Source organism: Homo sapiens, chromosome 15 (assembly GCF_000001405.40).
Source record: "Homo sapiens chromosome 15, GRCh38.p14 Primary Assembly".
Lineage (NCBI taxonomy): Eukaryota > Metazoa > Chordata > Mammalia > Primates > Hominidae > Homo > Homo sapiens.
The window spans coordinates 63,965,050-63,984,506 of NC_000015.10; the positions used below are offsets into that span (position 1 = coordinate 63,965,050).

At 47.3% G+C, this 19,457-nt stretch overlaps 1 protein-coding gene across 24 annotated transcripts in view, besides 2 other annotated features; it reads right to left on the reverse strand.

Moving 5' to 3' along the window:
- Nucleotides 1-19,457, reverse strand: part of DAPK2 (death associated protein kinase 2) — a 139,450-nt gene that overhangs the window by 58,014 nt on the left and 61,979 nt on the right. For 15 of the 24 annotated variants that reach the window (NM_001385000.1, NM_001395281.1, NM_001395287.1 and 12 more), the window contains 2 exons: nucleotides 18,484-18,705; nucleotides 6,374-6,512 (listed from right to left, as the gene is read on the reverse strand). Coding sequence is in view for 11 of the 24 variants with exons in the window: in NM_001384999.1 (NP_001371928.1) it covers nucleotides 6,374-6,512; nucleotides 18,484-18,705 (361 nt within the window). In the remaining 13 variants the exon portion in view is untranslated. The remainder of the gene's footprint in view (nucleotides 1-6,373; nucleotides 6,513-18,483; nucleotides 18,706-19,457) is intronic. The other 9 variants (NR_169523.1, NR_172521.1, NM_001395283.1 and 6 more) reach the window with 2 other exon arrangements.
- Nucleotides 6,341-6,635: a silencer, noted in NCBI's record as "tiled region #12240; K562 Repressive DNase matched - State 5:Enh". NCBI's record gives its function as "represses a minimal TATA promoter and a strong SV40 promoter by Sharpr-MPRA in K562 cells {active_cell/tissue: K562}" and the evidence as "EXISTENCE:reporter gene assay evidence [ECO:0000049][PMID:27701403]".
- Nucleotides 7,383-8,130: an enhancer, noted in NCBI's record as "OCT4-NANOG-H3K27ac-H3K4me1 hESC enhancer chr15:64264631-64265378 (GRCh37/hg19 assembly coordinates)". NCBI's record gives its function as "activates a minimal SCP1, AML or CMV promoter by ChIP-STARR-seq in naive H9 embryonic stem cells {active_cell/tissue: H9 hESC(naive)}" and the evidence as "EXISTENCE:reporter gene assay evidence [ECO:0000049][PMID:30033119]".

Here is a 19,457-nt window from a genome sequence, read left to right on the forward strand (position 1 = left end):
TCTAGTCTTCAGTCTTCGTTTGTTTGTACCCATCTATTTGGGAAGGCTTTCCAGATATTTGAAAGGACTTGAGTGTTGTAATCTAAGTTTTTGGTCACTCCAGCCAAATCTGTATTAGAGGACACCCCAAGCCCAGTAATGCTGTGGTTCTTGCAGACTTGTAAAGGTACTGCCTTGGTAGTTTTGGATAAGATCCAGAAAAATTATCTGGTTTAGGAGGCAGAGACTCTTGTTCTCTTCCCTTACTTTCTTCCAAATAAATGAAGTCTCTCTCTGTACTGACCTGCCTGGGGCTAGGGGAGGGGGAACACAAGCACTCCTGTGGCCATCACCACTGGGATTGTGCTGGGTCAGACCTGAAGCCAGCATGGCCCTGGGTCTTGCCCAAGGCTTATAACAGCTGCCTGGCTACTGGCTATGTTTGCTCAAGGCCCTAGGGCTCTACAATAGGCAGGTGGCAAAGCCAGCCAGGCTTGTGTCCTTCCCTCAGGGTGGTGAGCTTCCCCCCCTTGGGTGGTCCAGAGATGCCATCTGGGAGCCAGGGCCTGGAGTTGGAAACCTTGGGAATCTACCTGGTGCTCTATTCTAATGTGGCCTAGCTGGTATCTAAGCCAGAAGACAAAGTCCTTCCCACTCTTCCCTCCCCTTTCCACAAGCGGAGGCATCTCCCCCCATGGCCCCCACTGCCCCAGGCCTATGGCAAGTACTCCCTGACTACTGCCAGTGCACATTCAAGGCCCCAAGACTCTTCAGTCAGCTTGTGGTGAATACTGCCAGGCGTGGGACTCTCCCTTCAGGGCAGTGGGCTCCCCTTTGGCCCAGGGTAGGTCCAGAAATGCTGTCTAAGAGCCAAGGCCTGAAATTGGAAACCCGAAGAGCCCACTTGGTTCTCTACCCCACTGTGGTCAAGCTAGTACCTATGTTGCAGGACAAAGTCCCCTTTATCATTCCCTTTCCTCTTTCCATAGCCACCACAGCTGGGAATGTGCTGGGTCACACCTGAAGCCAGCATGTCTCTGAGTGCACATCTCTGAGTGATACACTGGATGTCACTGCTGACTATTCAGGGCCCAGGGCCTCTGTAGTCAGCAGGTGATGAATCCTGCCAGGACTGGGTCCTTCCCTTCAAGGCAGTGGATTCCCTTCTGGCTCAGAGAGTGTCTAGAAATGTTGTCTGAGATCTAGGGCCTGGAATGGGGGCCTCAAGACTCTGCCTTGTGCCCTTTCTTACTGTGGCTGAGCTGGTATCCAAATTGCAAGATGAAGTCCTCTTCACTTTTCCCTCTTTTCTCCTCAAGTGGAGGGAAGGATTCTCTCCTGGAGTTGCAAGCTGTGCTGCCAGGGGCTGAGGGAGGTGTGGTACAAGCACTTCCTTGGCCATCCCAACTGATGTCTCACTAGGTGTACCCTCCAAGTCCTCTGGCTCCAAGCACAGCACAGGACCAGGACTTGTCCAGGAATTGCAGTCCTTGTGGCCTAGACTTCCGTTCAAGTTTACTTAGAAACCCAGAGCACTTTAGTCTGCAGTGGTGAGGCTTGCTGGAACTCAGGTTCTGACCACTAGGATGAGCAATTCTCCTCTGTCTAGGGCTAGTCTAAATGCTCCTTCCATGGGTTCCAGCGGGGTTCTGCCTGGTATTGCTTTCTGCTGTGACAGGGCAGCACTGAGTTTCAATGCAAAGTCCCACAATTGCTGCACTCTCCCTCCCCCAAGTGCACAGGTTCTTTCTCCATGCAACATGGCTGCTGCCAGAAGATGGGGAAGGGGTGGTATAGGTGATTCAAGACTGTCTTTCCTACCCTCTTCAGTGCCTCTTTCTGTGATATGAAATTAAAACCAGGTACTGTGGGCCGGGCGCAGTGGCTCACACCTGTAATCCCAGCACTTTGGGAGGCCGAGGTGGGCGGATCACGAGTCAGGAGATGGAGACCATCCTGGCTAACATGGTGAAACCCCGTCTCTACTAAAAATACAAAAAAATTAGCCGGGCATAGTGGTGGGTGCCTGTAGTCCCAGCTACTCAGGAGGCTGAGGCAGAAGAATGGCGTGAACCTGGTAGGTGGAGTTTGCAGTGAGCCGAGATTGCACCACTGCACTCCAGCCTGGGCAACAGTGCAAGATTCAGTCTCAAAAAAATAAATAAATAAAATAAAATAAAACAATAAATAAAACCAGGTTCTGTGACCTCTCACCTGGTTTTTGGTTCTTACAAAGGTGCTTTTTTTGTGTATGGATAGTTGTTCAATTTGGTGTTCTTGCAGGGAGGGTGATCAGTGAAGGCTTCTATTCGGTCATCTTGCTCTGTCTCCTGTTTTTACCAATACTGCTTATCTCATATTAATTTGTCCATTTGGACTGGGTATGGTGGCTCATGCCTATGATCCCAGCACTTTGGGAGACCAAGGTGGGTGGTGGGGATCACCTGAGGTCAGCAGTTCAAGACCAGCCTGGCCAACATGGTGAAACCCTGTCTCTACTAAAAATACAAAAATTAGCTGGGCGTGGTGGCAGGCACCTGTAATCCCAGCTACTAAGGAGGCTGAGGCAGGAGAATCACTTGAACCCAGGAGGCAGAGGCTGCAGGGAGCCGAGATTGTGCCACTGCACTCCAACCTGGGCAACAGAGCGAGACTCTGTCTCAAAAAGAAAAAAAAATATCCATTTGTCGGCTCCCTGCAACGAGGCTAGGAGCATGTGGTGAGCAGGGACAGAGCCTGACTGTCCATTGCACAATGGCTGAACATAGGAGAAGCTGATTAAATACCAGCCTGAAGAGAGGTTGTTCACATTCCAAAGGTAGGCAAGAGAGTGAACCCTCTTCTATTACCTGCCCCTTCAAGCTGGAAGGTGTGCATAGAGAACAGGTTATGGGTAAGGGTGTGGAGACAACATGCTGGCTGTGTTCCTGGGGCAGTAAGGACCCTGAGCTTGGGAAGGAGTTAACAGAATATAAGCAGGAGAGGAAAGTGAAAATCCATCATGGAGAATGAAAATCAGGAAGAAAAATGTGGATTTTATATGGTGGGAAACAACACAGAACCAAGAAGCCTCCTCTAAGCTACCAGCTGGATCTTAATTGCATGATCCCCTCCAGGAGACAGAATGTTCCAGCCAGGAGGCATGCATACCCACATTCTGGCTCCAGGAAACATGTACCCGATCCTGAGGTAATCCTTCTGAGTTCCAGCTACTCATCACTTCCTGAAGTTGCCCAGGTGGGCCTAGGCCAAGGGACCCACGGGTGGAAGAATCAGAAAGCTCAGGTCCTCACAACTCTAAGGATACCTGGCCATGGTGGGGACTGGCAGCATCCTCACCTCACATGCATCCAGAGAAAACCCAGACTGTTTCCAGGTAATGGAAAATGTCCAGGTTAGCCCCGGAGCCTCACCAGCCCTCGCCAGCAGTTCTACCTAGCAACCAACTCAGCTCTCTGCTGGACAATTTATTAACAGAACTGTACTCACAGGGTTTGTTTTCCTAGTCTATGGGGCCCACAACACTGTAACAAAAGTTCTATTTCCTTTTCCTCTATTCTGAGAAGGGGAATAACAATAACAGCTACTATTACCGAGCACCTATTCCATATCTGGCACTTAATGCTTCTCTCTAACCCTTACAGCTCTGCCAGGTAGGTATTATTTGCATTGAAGCTGAAAAGCTGAGGTTCAGGTGTATCATGGTACATGGTAACTCAGCCTGGCTAACTCCAAGCCAGTGCTCTCCCCACCACAGCGAGCTGCCATAAAGGCAAGCCAAACATCACGAACCTGCTGCAGTCATTGGTGCCTGTTGGGCTCCAGCCACTCCTCCTACCAGACCCATTCAAGAAAAGACAAAGGAGCCCATTTTGAAGCAGCTCTCCTGGAGCCAGCAAAGACACAATAAAACAACAAGTTAATTGTCCACAGCAGTACCAGGAAGTCACACAGGTGCAATCAAGGCAGACCATTTCCTGCTGTTACTACCCTGAGGTCCAAAGGCCTGCCCAGGCCTCACCATCCTTGGTGACCCCCATTTTTACCCTGTGACGCCTCAGTAAAACTCTGGAAGACTTCTGTTGGAGGTATTAAAAAATACCGTGACAGCCAGGAGCAGTGGCTCATGCCTGTAGTCCCAACACTTTGGGAGGCTGAAGTGGGCAGATTGCTTGAGCCTAGGAGTTGCAGACCAGCCTGGGCAAAATGGCAAAAACCCATTTATACAAAAAAATACAAAAATTAGCTGGCCATGGTGGCATGTTTCTGTAGTCCCAACTACTTGGGAGGCTGAGGTGGGAGGATTACCTGAGCCTGAGAGGTCTAGTCTGCAGTGAGCTGAGATCACGCCACTGCACTCCAGCCTGGGTGACAGAGTGAGACCCTGTCCCCCCCAAAAAGAAACACCAAAAACAAACTGACAATCATGGCCAGACGCAGTGGCTCATGCCTGTAATCCCAACACTTTTGAGAGGCTGAGGCGGGTGGACCACTTGAGCCCAGGAGCTCAAGACCAGCCTGGGCAAACATGGCAAGACCCCGCCTCTACAAAAAATACAAAAATTAGCCAGGTATGGTGGCACACGCCTTTAGTCCCAGCTATTCAGGAGGCTAAGGCAAGTGGATAGATTGAGCCCAGGAAGTCGAGGCTGCAGTGAGCTGTGATCACACCACTGTGTTCCAGTTGGGTGACAGAGCGAGACTATCTCTATTAAAAAAAAAAAAAAAGTGACAGTGAGCCTAAGGAAGGAGGACCATGCTAAGGGGACTCATAGAAGGTCACCCTATCAGGCAGAGTAGAGTAAGAGCTGGGGTAGGGACTCATATGGGAACTGAGCTCATGCCCTGGCATAGCCACTGTGAGATAATGGACATGCCAGACCCTCTCTGGGCCAGGGGCACAAGCCAGAACTTGGGTGTCATCCAGAACCCTGTCCCCTCCTTCATCTCTACCTCTAATTAGGCACCTAATCAATCCTCAGATTGACCTCTGCAAAAGATCTTGACTCTGTCCTCTCCTCACATCTTACCTAGATTATTGCTTTAGCCTCCTAGCTGAGCCCCAGCCTCCAGGCTGTCTCCAGCCTATCCATCCTCCCAGCCAGAGGGATCACTCTGAAACAAGTACATGCTTACCTCACTTCTCTGCTCACCTGAACCCTTATCTCTCAGGGTAAAGTGCAAGCTCCTTGGCTTAGCTCCCAGACCCTTGTGTCTGCTTCCTGCACTGTTCCTGGCTTCTTCCCCAGCCACTCAGCACACACTTCCCATGCCTGTACTTCCCTGAATGCATTGTGCTGTTTTGTGACCATGTATTCTGCTGGCCTTTCTTCCTTATAAGGCCCTTCTCTTCTTCTATTTCCTACCAATCCTTCAGAACTCAACTACATAGCACTTTTTCCAGGGAGCCCTCTCTGATATCCCGGTTGGACTTAGATGTCCCCTCCTTTAGCCTCCCCACCCACCCTGGGCTTCCTTCTAGCATAGTACTTAGAGTTGCTGGTTTTTCTATCTCCTACACTAAGGTTCCTGGAAAAGATGAAGTAATCTCAGACAGGGCCTCAGTGAATTTTGTATCAGCAGCAATACCCAAGCACCCAGCACCATGCTTGAAAGACCACAGGGATTTCTGGATAGAAAAATGAAGGGATCTCCCCAGCAAACAGGTCATAGAATTGATCAAAGTTAGAGGACTTTACACATTAAGTATCTGTATAGGCTCATCAGTCTATGCAACTGAGCTCAGTTACTAAGGGAACTGATCCTTCTACTTTGACCACATTCTTGCTTTATGAAGTCCTATGTGGTCACAGTGAACTCTCTCAGTCCTGAATACCAGTCACCATAAATGATCAGTGGCCCCTACAAGCAGTTTTATGACCACAGTTTGGAGCACAGTAGGGGTTGTGAGTTGGGGAGGGCAGCCAGTGGTCCCTGGGCTCCAGGATTTACAAGCTCTGGTCAAGGGATGATGGAGGCTGCACTATGAATGGGTCTGGCGAGCCAGCCAACTTCAGCAATCCTCCAAACATTTCTAGTTTTTTGTTACTGAAAAGTTCAGTCTTGTGAAAGGTGTTTGGTTTCAAGTTTCCTGTCACTGGTCTACTTATTTAGAAAGTGTTCCCCCCTGCTCCCTGAAATAAATAAGGTGCCTGAAGTCTGATTTAAGCAGCTTCTTGCAGTCAGCTCCAGTGTGCAGAAAACCTGTTATGAAAAATGAAACTGAGAAGGTGGACATTTCCGTGGCATCATCTTTCCCATGAGCTCAGGGTTTTTCACTGTAAGATGAGAAAGAAGGGCTGGTCGGCACTGGGCCCATCCTGGGAAAGACACCAGGAGGGACTAAGCCTCTTCTTCCTAAACTTGATTCTTTTCCCTTTCTCCCCTTACTGACCTTGAGATCAAAGTGAGCAATTTTCTTTGTGTGAAGGTAGTTCACCCCATCCAGGATCTGCTTAATGAAGCTGGTGGCCTCCTCCTCACTCAGTGACTCCTTCTGGGCCAGGAAATCGAAGAGCTCTCCTCCAGACACTCTGTAAAACACCAGCGGGGGGAGGGGAGGCCCAGGCCCAGTCAGCTCTGCATGTCATGAGGCTGGGCTGATAGGGGCAAGCCCTCATCCTGACCCCCCAGGGACCTTGTATGGCAGAATCCCCCTGGCTTATTTCTGGGGCTTTGTCTGTCCAGTGCCAGGGACTGACTTTGCTCCTATTTGCTTTGTTCTTTCTTTTGGATCACAAGGGCAGGAATCACCCTGGAGGTGTTGTCAGAAGAGCCTCTGCTCCCACTCTAGGCCCTGGTCCCAGTCACCCTGGAGGTTGCCCTCTCCCCTCCATATGCCTGAGATGGCAGGGGACAAAAACAAGCAGATTATTTAGCCTGAATGTTTGCGTTCCTCCAAGTTCATATTTTGAAATTCTAACCCCCAAGGTGATGGTATTAGGAGATAGGGCCTTTGGGAAGTAATTAAGTCATGAAGTTAGAGACCTCACAAATGAGATTAGTGCCCTTATAAAAGAGACCCCAGAGGGCTTACTTTCCCCTTGCACTATGTGAAGTTACAGTCAAAAGACAGCCATCTATGAGGAAGTGAACCTTCATCTTGATCTTAGACTTCCCAGACTCCAGGACTGTGAGAAATAAATTTATGTTGTTTGTCAGCCACCCAGTTTATGGTTATTTTGTTATACAGCAGCCTGAATGAACTGAGAGAGGAAATTGGTACCAAGTGTGGAGTGCTACTGTAACAGACACCTAAAAATGTGGAAGCTGCTTTGGAATCAGCTAACAAGTAGAGGCTGGAAGAGGTTTGGGGTGCCAACTAGAAAAAGCCTACATTGCCATGAATGAATGGACTGTAAGGGTGGTCCTGGTGAGGGATCACAAAGAGAGGAGATTCTCAATCTTCTTAGAGAATACCTAAGTGGCCATCAACAAAATATTTGTAGAAATACAGATGGAAAGGCCATTCTGATAATGTCTCAGATGGATATGAGGAACATGTTACTGGTCTGGTCAATGGAGGAAAGGGCATCCTTGTTATAAAGTAGCAGAGAACGTGGCTGAATTGTGTGTGTGCCCTAGTGTTTTATAGGAGGCAGAACTTGTAAGCAATAAAAATGGAATATTTGGCTGAGGAGATTTCTAAGCAAAGTGTTGGAAGAGTGTCCTGGTTCCTCTTGACTACTTAAAGTAAAATGTGAAAAGAAATGGTTTAAAGACAAAATTGTTACTCAAAGGGAAGAAAGCTTAAAAGTATGCAAAATTCTCAGCCTCCTCATATTGGAAAACATAAGAAAACCTGTTTGGGAAGGAACAAAGGTATGACCAAGCAACCATTTGATAAAAAGATTAATATGGCTCTCCAGGGAAGCCAGGTGCTATTCATCAAGACAATAAGGGGATTAGTCAGCCATCTAAACAGAAGCCAGGACCTATTGTCCAAGACAATGGAAGAATAACCCTGAAGTCATTTCAGAGATCGTGGGGGTGAAAAGAGGGGTGTCCCTCCCATCACAGATTCATAGTGCCAGAGCTTAGAGGGCAGAATGATATCAAAGGAGGGGCCTCCACTGCCCAGTGCTGCCTCACATTGTGGGCTTTGCTCTCCAAACTCTGTTGCCATACTCCTCAGACATACCAGGTGTGGCTCCTGGAGGGCAACAGTGTGGCAAGCTCTGTGCCAAGCAAAGCTGGTGGGTGTGTGGCTGCTTTCACCTGGATTTCACAAGATGCCTTAGAGAGCTGGTGGGCCCCTGGGCAGAGAACTGCCTTTGGTGTGGGGGCCAATGTTTGGAGAGCAAAGCCTTATGGGCAGGGTTGCTCAAAGCTGCAGGGGCAAGACCTCCATTCCACCCCCATGGGCCTGGAGGGCAGAGCAATGAGCCAAAGATTCTTCTCAATGTTTTGTACTGGCTCAGAACCTGTCACTCCTTTATTCTTTCCCATTCTTCCTTTTAGAATGGGAATGTGTATCCTCTGCCTGTCCCACCATCATATTTTGTAACACGACATGTTTGATGTCATTGGTTCACAGCTGGAGAGCAACTTGCCTCAGAATGAATCATACCTTGAGTCTCACCCACATCTGATTTAGATATTTAGATGAGACTTTGGACTTTAAACTTTGGAGTTGATGCTGGAATTAATTAAGAGTTTTGGAACTATTGGAATGGAAGGAATGTATTTTACATTTGAAAAGGACATTAATTGGGGTGGGGGGCAGAGACAGAATGCCAGAGTCTGAATGGACTAAGACAGATGACAAAGCGGAACAAATGCTGTGCCAGAAACTAAAGACCTAGGTTCCATTCCAGCCTTGCCACTGACCTTGGACAACTCATTTCCCTTCTCCAGGCAGGCCCTGGTTTCATTACCTACAAAAGAAGCAGACTGAGCAAGACAGCCCCAAAGCCCCCTTTCTTCAATTTTATAAAAGATGGCCCCTTTATGGGGCTCAAGAGAATCTAAGTATGGCCCCTAACTTAAGCATAAGACCCCATTAATTATATTCATTTTTAAAGACTCTAGAATACTGTTTTTGATGTTTGATACTACTTTTTCACACTCTACATTCTTGCTTCCTATAGTTGATGTGACAGAGCAAAAAAAATCTCCCCTGAGATTTAGAATTGCCAGATAAAATAGGTTTTTACTTGCTAAATCTGGCAACCCTACTTGGGCTTATTTATCCTGTCAACAAAAAGAGTCAAACTCTGTAAAATATTTAAAGATGTTTATTCTGAGCCAAATATGAGTGCTCAAGACCCATGACACAGTCCCAGAAGGTCCTCAGAACATGTGCCCAAGGTAGTTGGGTAACAGCTTGATTTTATACATTTTAGGGGGACAGAAGTTACAGGCAGAATCAATAAATCTAAGGTGTACATTGGTTCCATCTGGAAAAGTGGAACAACTTGAAGGTGAGGATAGGGGGTTGGGAGGGCTTCTAGGTCACAGGTGGATTTTCTGATTGGCAATTGGTTATTATTGAAAGACCTGGAATCAATAGAAAAGAGTGTCTGAGTTAAGACAAGGGTTATGGAGACCAAGGTTTTTATTATGTAGATGAAGTCTCACAGGTGGCTGCCCTTGGAGGCAATAGATGGCAAATGTTTACTATTCATATTCTTAAAAGGTGCTAGACTCTCAGCTAATCTCTTCAGGATCAGAAAAAGACATGGAAAGGAACAGAGATTCTCCACAGAATATAGATTTTTCCCACAAGAGTCAGCTTTGCAGGGCCATTTCAAAATATGTCAAAAGATTTATTAGGGTAAAATACTTCTATTTCTTTCAGGGCCTGCTATTTGTCATGTGATGTTATAGTAGAGTCAGGTTGGAATTTATTATCTTATTGCTGCAAAGAGTCTGTTTTGTTAGGCTTAAGTTCACTGTTTTCATATTAATGCTGGTCACTTGTGCCCGAATTTAAATGGGCAGAGAGTATAATGAGGCATGTCCAACCCCTCTTCCCACCATGGCCTGAAAGTTTTTCAGGTTTACTTTGGAATCTCCTTGGCTGAGAGAGGGGTCTATTCAGTTGGTTGAGGGGGCTTAGAATTTAATTTTTGGTTTACAATCCTCTGACAGAAGCTGGGGTATCCAGCCAGCATGTGCTCCACTGGGGCTGAAATAAAGCCATGGGCCCAAAGGGAAAGATCTCAGGAAGGGTTCTAGGCCAAGGGATCCAGGACCTTGGGATCACTTGGAGAACTTGTTTTAAAATGCAGATTTCCAGATCCCACCATAGACTTTAACAAATTAGATTCTCCAGCAGTGAGGCCTTAAAACCTGTATTTTTACTCTAACAACATAATAATAGCAATTAATATTCATTGAACACATACTCTATGTTACATGCCTTATGCACATTATCTCATTTAATCATCACAATATCCTATGATCTAAGGACTAACATTTTTCTATTTCACACTTTAAGAAACAAAGGCTCAGAGAGGTTAAGCAACTTGCCCACAGTCCCATAGCTAGTAAATAGAGTCAGGATTCAAACCCAAGCAGAACAGCTCTCAACCACTACAGCATACTGAGTATTGCAGATGATTCTTTTCTTTTCTTTTTTTTTTTTGAGACAGAGTCTCATTCTGTTGCCCAGGCTGGAGTGCAGTGATGCGATCTCAGCTCACTGCAACCTCCGCCTCCCAGGTTCAACTGATTCTCAGGCCTCAGCCTCCTGAGTAGCTGAGGTTACAGGCACATGCCGCTACGCCCAGCTAATTTTTGTATTTTTAGTAGAAATGGGGTTTCACCATATTGGCCAAGCTGGGACTCCTGACCTCAAGCAATCCGTCCACCTCAGCCTCCCAAAGTGTTGGGATTACAGGTGTGAGCCATTGCGCTCGGCTCCAGATGATTCTTATATGGCTAAAATGGCTCCAACCCAACTTTGGGGATCATTCCCTGCCCCCTAGTCCATCCTAAATAAAGAACATCAAAATCTTCTTTTCTCCTTTCTTTAAACATTTCCAGAAGCACACCTGGACCCACTCAATAATCTTAGCATCATGAAAAGTAGAACAACCGGACATAAAATAGTGACATAGAAAGTACACAGCAACACCTATGATATGCTGTGACTTACAAAATGGAACCTAAATCCGCTTAAGCCTCTTGTTCAGCACTATCAACAGAACTTTCTGCAATGATGAAAATGTTCTAGATATGTGCTGTCCAATAGAGTAGCCACTAGTCACATGTGGTTACTGAGCACTTGCAATGTGGCTAGTGTAATAGAGGAATTGAATTTTAACTTTTATTTAATTTTAATTAATTCTAATTTAAAAACTGAAGTGGTATAAAATATTTTCCATTAAATACAACTTTATTGTTTCAGTAGAATTGCATTTCACTTTAACCGTTGCATTGCTTTGCGTAAGAATTGAAATGTGGGCTGGGCACAGTGGCTCACACCTGTAATCTCAGCACTTTGGGAGGCTGAGGCAGGCAGATCACTTGAGCCCAGAAGTTCAAGACCAGCCTGGGCAACATAGTGAGACACTGTCTCTACAAAAAAAAAAAACTTAGCTGGGCATGGTGATGTGCACCTGTAGTTCCAGCTACTTAGGAGGTTGAGAGGATCACCTGAGGTCGAGGCTGTAGTGAGCCGTGATTGTGCCATTGCACCCTGGGCAACAGAGTGAGAATCGGTCTCAAAAACAAACAAACAAACAAAAAAACAGGTTGAGATGTGCTGTAAGTATAAAATTCACACTGGATTTTGAAGACTTAGTTTGAAAAATAGAATGTAAAATATCTCATTAATAATTTTAAATAAAAATATTATTAAAATCAATTCACCTATTTCTTTTTGTTTAGTCAGTGTGGCAACTAGGAAATTTAAAATTATGTATGTGGTTCACATTACATTTCTATTGGACAGCGCCAATAGGCAGGGTATCTCCTCTAGATCTAACTACTAGTTACAGGAAATACAGGGAACAGAGGAATGAGTTAAAGAACACCATGAGGAAGGAACAAGTCTAATCCAGACTGTGAAACAGGACAAGTGGCCTAGTTTTCCAACATATCAATGGCATCAAAAAAGAGGCAAAAAAAGAGAAGGGGAAGGGGGAAGGTGAAAGGGTGAAGAGAGACTGAGATAAGATGGCACATTTGAGCATATGTACCATCTGCCATAGCTGCAGCGCCCCTCTGCTCAGGGTTGAGTAGGGTGTGGCCTAAGGTGGCTGCCTTGGTGTTGGGGACCAGGCTGGTGCACTATTTTCTCAGTGTCTCATGGGTGAGGCCGTCCTTTGCCCCACTCTGACCCTTGCCCCCACCTTGGGCAGGTGCTGGAAGCTGGAGCACCCTCCCAGCTGCTGGAGTAACCCTGGGTCTGCTCTGCAGACTGGGGTCAAAGGGCCAAGATGATGGCTCCAATCCTTCAGCAGCAAAGATACAACCTTCACCTTGGGGTGGGACATGTGAGAGTTCTAGGGCTCAACTTTTCTTCTTGTGAAACAGGAGTGAAAAAAATAATGCTTTCATTACCAGCTTTGGATGTGAGGGTGGGAGTGAGAGGAATCTCTATGAGATTCTTGATAAAGTCCTTGACATAAACACCGTACATGGTGTCATCATCAGGGGTGGCAGTGGTGGAAGGGGGCTTGATTTAGAGTTTATTTGAAGTTTGCCACCGGTGCAATGTGCTTTCCCAAACATTTCCTCACTTGAGCTTGATATCCACCCGGAGGGCATCCTCATTCTCAGATGAGAAAACTGAGGTCTCAGGAGAGCAAGTGACTTGCCCAAGATCACACAGCTAGTAAGTGGCAGGACCAGGATTTAGACCCAGATTTTCTCAGCCCCAGTTCACCATGTGTCCCTCTCACCACAACCCTTCCACATTACAAAGCCTGAGGTGCTGATGCAAAATGGAAAGGCTCAAAGCAGCCCCAGGCACTGGGCAGTCCTCTGATATCCCTGCTCTGCTGCATCCACGCTCTCCTCACAGTGGGCTTCACTATCTATCTTCCTCTCTCCCCAGCTATATTATTTTTGCTTCCACAGCACCTAGTGCAAGAAAGACATTCAATCAGAAGTTTGGTGAATAAAAGAAGAAAGAAAGAAATAAAACATTAAAAATAACAACATGATGTAGAATATTCTGTATCATATAGACAGTGAAGCCTTGGTATTTGTGAAAGATCTGTCCAGAGCTCTCTGCAAATTTTCACATCTGCAGTGCCCCCTCTGAAACACACAGAACCCAGCTCCACCCTTAGTCTGCCAGCCCCTGCCAGGTTGTGTGGGCCTGTGACCTCGGGCAAATATCTAAATAAATAATAACCCTGCAATTCCTACTTTAAATAAAATGCTGCATCAGTGTAAAAGCTTCTTAGCTTAGCATTCCCAAAAGCCACTGACATGAAGTCTGGGGTTGAGGGAGGACTTTGGGGTGCAGTAATCAGTCATCTGTTTGAAGGTGAGATATGGGCAGGAGACCTGGTGAGACATGGTCTCCTTGGGATGAAGAAGGGAACAGCCACTGTGCCCCCTAGAATCTCCCCCAGAAACTCAGAAAGGTGGGAGGCTGATGACCTGCCACTGTCTAGGCCCTGGATACCCAGGCTGGGACATTCACATTAATGCTCAGTCACCTCTTTTCAAAGCCAAACCAAGGAGCCTGAGTGTCATTTCTTTACCCTCTAAGACCTCTGCCCTGGAGCCACCCCCCATCTCCTTCCAAGTTTCTTTCCTCTTACATCCCACATCTCTTTAGCTTTAAGATGAAAAACAAAGCCTCACGACCTGGCCTCATCTCTTCTCCTAGTGTTCCCAGGATCATCCCCTTCCTGCAAATCTGACCTTTGCCTCCTTCCTCCCTGCAGGGTGGCATGCCTGCTGGAAATGCTTTTCAGACTCTTCTGGAAATGTATACATGAATGACCTGCACAGGCAGCGATAGGGGAAAAATGCTGCCAGAGCTGCTGGGCCCAGGAAGCTGGGCTCAATTCAGGAACCTGGGAAGCATCACTGCCACCCTGGAGCACTCTGCCAGGCAGTTCTCTGGTATGCAACCACCACGGTATCGCTTTCCACAGGCTTGGAATCAAGGAGGCCCCAGAGCAGTCAGGGGCCTGTGATGGGAGGCCAGCCCAACCTTCACAGGGAGACTTACATTTTTCAGGGCTAGTTCCACATGTGACATGAGTTAAGCTGCTGAGATTTTGAATATATTCTATACCCCATACAGAAGTCAACTTATATGGACAATTAAATCCTTCCCAGTCCTGCCTTCAAGAGTCACGACCAGAGGCAGCTGCTTCTAGGGAGGTCACAGATGGGATAATAACAACTGAAAGGGATTTAGATCAGAGCCAGGCATGTCCTCCTAGTGCTGGCCACTTGAGCAGAAAGCAGGCGGAAGCCCTGCACCAGACAACAGTTGCTGAGAGGGGCAGTGGGATCAGCGTAGACTCATTCATAAAACCTGCAACTGGGCAGCTTTCAACTGAGTAGGTGGATACTAACACTTACTGGGCAAACCCACTAACCTATTAGGGCCCAGTGAGGACCACGAGGCCAAGACTTCTGACCAGCCTAACAGGAGTCACTAAGTCTAAGCAACAAAAGCCCATGAGGCTGGGTGCGGTGGCTCATGCCTGTAATCCTAGCACTTTGGGAGGCCAAGGCGAGTGGATCACTGGAGGCCAGGAGTTCAAGACCAGTCTGGCCAACAGAGTGAAACCCCACCTCTACTAAAAATACAAAAAAAATTAGCCAGGCATGGGGGCACATACTGGTAGTCCCAGCTACACAGGAGGCTAAGGCACAGGATCACTGGAACCCGGGAGGTAGAGATTGCAGTGAGCCGAGATCACGCCACTGCACTCCAGCCTGGGTGACAGAGCAAGACTCCATCTCAAAAAACAAACAAACAAACAAAAACAAAAGCCCAGGAACTCCTCTCCTGGGAGGTCCTCCCTCTCAGAACCTGGCCATACATGGGTTAGGGACAGTCTTGGAACGCTTGGGTCTTCTCCAATCTCATAAATTCTTAGCAGTCCATAGACAGGCACCCTGAGAACAATGAGACAGCTTGGAAGTGAAGGGGGAGACAGAAACGGGACAGAACTTAATAAGCACAGAGGCCCAAGCAAGTCATGGGAGCACCAGCGTGACAACTGATGTTACAGATGGTGCACCTGAGCTCACAAGAAGCCGGCACATAACTGGCTGACCATGAGCCCTGTTGGGAAAAACACAGACATCTCAAGAGCATTTACCTGCCACATCCCCGCCACCGACTCCTAGGGTTCTACAAACAGGAAGAAGCAGGCAATTTCCCCAGCAATTAAAGGCATGCCAATTATAGTAAGAAAGTATCAATTTATAGCTATAAAGATCAATAAATAATGAAACACGTTTCAAAACAAATGACCCAGGGCTGGCAGGGCTGCAGGCACACAGCAACACTCCTACGTTGTGGTAGTAATGGTTAACCAGCACCATCTTTGAAAAGTGAGGATATTGAGTCCCAAAAATGTCAGCCTTTGGCTTAGTCATCCCATTCCTGGGGATGTTAGCTAAATCCTCAGGACTTTGCTGAAAGAATTAATTAAAAAGAAAAGGAGAAAATCATGAGAAGAAAGTTGTTTTATCAGTAAAATTTGTAATGGTTAAAAGCTAGGAAATAAAAAGCATGTGTCCAACAATAAGGATGCTATGGTTTGACTATTTGTGCCCTACAAACTCGCATTGAAATTTAATTCCCAATGCGGCCGTATTAGGCAGTGGGACCTTTAAGACGTGATTGGGTCGGGGTGCGGTGGCTCACGCCTGTAATCCCAACGCTTTGGGAGGCCAAGGCAGGCGGATCATCTAAGGTCAGGAGTTCGAGACCAGCCTGGCCAACATGGAGAAACCCCATCTCTACTAAAAATACAAAAATTAGCTGGGTGTGGTGGTGGGTGCCTGTAATTCCAGCTACTTGGGAGGCTGAGGTAGGAGAATAGCTTGAACCCAGGAGGTGGAGATTGTAGTGAGCCAGGATCGCGTCATTGCACTCTAGCCTAGACGACAGAGCGAGACTCCATCTCAAAAAAAAAAAAAAAAGAGGTGATTGGGTTATGAGGGCTCTGTCCTTATGAATGGATTAATCCATTCATGCATTAGTGGATTAACAGGTTACATGGGTGGGACTGGTAGCTATATAAGAAGTGAGACCTGAGATATCCCACTCTGCCCCCTCACCGTGTGATGCACTGGGCTGCCTTGGGGGACTCTGTAGAGAGTCCCCATTAGCAAGAAGGTCCTAATCAAATGTGGCCCCTCAACCTTGGACTCCTCAGCCTCCATAACTGTAAGAAATAAATACCTTTTCCTTATAAATTAACCAGTTTCAGATATTCTATTATAAGCAATAGAAAATGGACTAAGACAAGGGAAATACTGGTATGCAATTCAGTGAAACATATAGTCAGTTAAAAGAGAAAAGCCAATTTTTAGAATTATGTTAATTGGGGAAAAAAGTAGAGCAGGAAATTATACAAGTACAATGATTGTATACAAATAGATAAAGATTGAGAGGAACCACAGAAAAACATAAATAGCTGTGTTTGGGTTGTAGGATTATAAATGTAATTTCTTGTCCATTCCTGCTTAGTTTTTTTTTTTTCCTCCCCATAATAAACTTTTTAAGAAGTGGCTCGGCCTTTCCAGAAAGGTGCACTTGTCACTCTCTGCTGGGAATCAGGATGCCGACTGCTGACCCTCAGCTTCTCTCTGGGTCACGCAGGGCAGGCATCCAGTAGTCCAACCAGCTGGGAGGCCCGTGGGAGAAACATGGAGGACACTGGGAGCTAGCGAAGGGAAGAGCACAGGCAATTCTATACATTTAAACACCGAGATGGATAATTTAAGAATCAAATGCAAGAGTATGCAAATGTCCATCTGCTACTTAAATCTATATCCTGCCAATACCAGAGCATAGTTCTCAAATTAGAATGATCTCAAATGTCAGGTGGTCCACCGAGTCTGTAGGCAGGTTAAGGATGGCTGCCTGCTTTACAGATGAGAACTAAAGCTCAGGGAATTGAGGTGACTTGCCCAAGGGCACAAAATCAGGGATTCCTGAGAGATTCTATCACTCCCGCTACCAGGCAGGTGTATACATGCTTATGAGCCTCAGAATATTCTTTTTTTTTTTTTTTTTTTTTCCGAGATGGAGTCTTGCTGTCACCCAGGCTGGAGTGCAGTGATGCAATCTCGGCTTACTGCAACCTCCGCCTCCCGGGTTCAAGCAATTCTACTGCTTCAGCCTCCCGAGTAGCTGGGATTACAGACACCTGCCACCACACCCGGCTAATTTTTGTATTTTCAGTAGAGATGGGGTTTCACCATGTTAGCCAGGCTGGTCTCAAACTCCGACCTTGTGATCTGCCCGCCTTGGCCTCCCAAAGTGCTAGGATTACAGGCATGAGCCACTGCACCAGGCCAGAACATTCTTTATATAGTCCTTGCTGCTTGACTGGACACAGCCACTGTAACTTGTCCACAACCCAACTCAAACTCTATTGTTTATCAGAGCCCCACCTGCCCAGGACGATACCAGCGTGGCTAGCCAAACCCTAGAGTATTGAGGTCATCTATCCAAATTCCATCATGAACTGTGAGGTCTTCCTCTGCTAAGCCAGCATAAGGCCAACCCGCCTCACACTCATAGCTGTCTGCACAGGCCGTGTGGACTCAAGTCCTGGTCCTGCCACTTCCTGGCTATAGGCTCCTGTAAGTGTCCTGGCCTCTCAGTGTTCTTGTCTGTAAAATGGGGATAATAAGAGTGTCTGTGTGACAGCGTTGTTATGAGGATTAAATAAGGTACAGAAGTACTTGGCTTGCACAATGAATACAAAATAACCTGTCTGCACTAGTAAGACATTTCCCTCATCACAGTCTTTAAAGATTGAACAAGACGACAGATAGAAAGCGCCTAGCAAATTCTTGGCTTACAGTAGGACTCTCTAAATAATAGCTATTATTATAACAATAAAGGTGTCATTCACAGCACAAATGCAGTGGACTTTCCCCAGGAAAGGGCTGGAGAAGGGCTTCGCAGAGCCCAGAGATGTTTGTACTTCCCCTCCTCATAGTACACAGCCCTCGCTGACAGCCTCCCCTGGCCCCACCCCACCATCTGTCCCACTCACCCTCCCACATGCTTCTCCAGCCAGGAAAAGACCCCAGTGCAGTCATTTCTTCCCTTTGATCTCCAGGATCCAGTGAAAGCCAGACTTAGGCCATTGCCCTCTGCCCCTGCTATTCAGCAAGCTTGCCCCTCCTTTGGCTCAGTTTCAGGAGGAGGAAGCGGGTAAGGAGGAAGGGGGTAACTGAGACAGAGGGGATCTGCCCACCACTGACTTCACCTCCTCTGGGCTGAGCTTAGGCCTGGTTGCTGCTGCCCCCTGGGGCCTGTGGCTGGAGTTTCCACTGCTCTGCCTGCCCCTGCTGCCCCCCAACCCTGTGGGTCCTGGGGACCCCACTCACAGCTCAAGGATGAGCACCACGTCGGTGCGGTTCTCATAGACGTCGTGCAGCGTGATGACATTGTGGTGCAGCACCTGCCGCAGGATGCTCACCTCCCGCTCGATCTCCTCCCGGCTCACACCGCGCCGGCTCGCCCGGCTCTGCCGCTTCTTGATGAACTTGGCTGCATACTCAAGCCCCGTGCTCTTCTCCCGGCACTTCTTCACGATGGCAAACTGGCCACTGTGGGGACACAGACCCACAAGATTAGGTCATCACTGTGGTCATTGGGGAAATGACCCCACTGTCAGCTACCAGGTCACACAAATTCAGAGTGATTCTGCCAGGACAGGACAAATCATGCCACCAGTCTGCATCCCCACCTGATGACAACCTGTGGATGAGATGGGGCAGGGACTGGGCTTCCCTTCTGTCCATTCCTTCTATGAGGAATGAATGTTAGTATTCTTAGTCCCAGTGTACAGAGGTGAGCACTGAGGCCCAGAAAGGTTATTGATCAGGATGACATAGCCTTGTCATTGCAAAATCTCAGCTAGAACCCAAGTCTAGGACCCACCAGATGAAATCACAATGTCCATAAGCAGACTGGGCTGGTGGGGATCCAGGTTTGGGTAGAGTTTGGAGAGGAGGCAGCCTAACAAGGTTAATCATCATAGTGGGGGAGCATCACAGTCAGAGGACTTGGTATAAACAGAGAGTTGTACAATTAGGAAACTGAGGCATAAGGATAGGTCATGTGACTCGCCTGAGGTCATCGCAGAGTTAATGGCAAAGCCAAGCCTCAAAGTCAGATACCCAACCGGCTGTCCACAAAGCCTCTGAGATAGTTAGAGCAGTCTAGACCATTATTATTCCCCTTCAGGCACTAGTACCCAGGGCTGGGCTCAGAAACCCATTACTCCAGGGACAGAGACAGCAAGCATGAAATGGAGTCCATGGCAGAGTGGCAGGCAGCCCTGAGCCAGCTTCCCTGA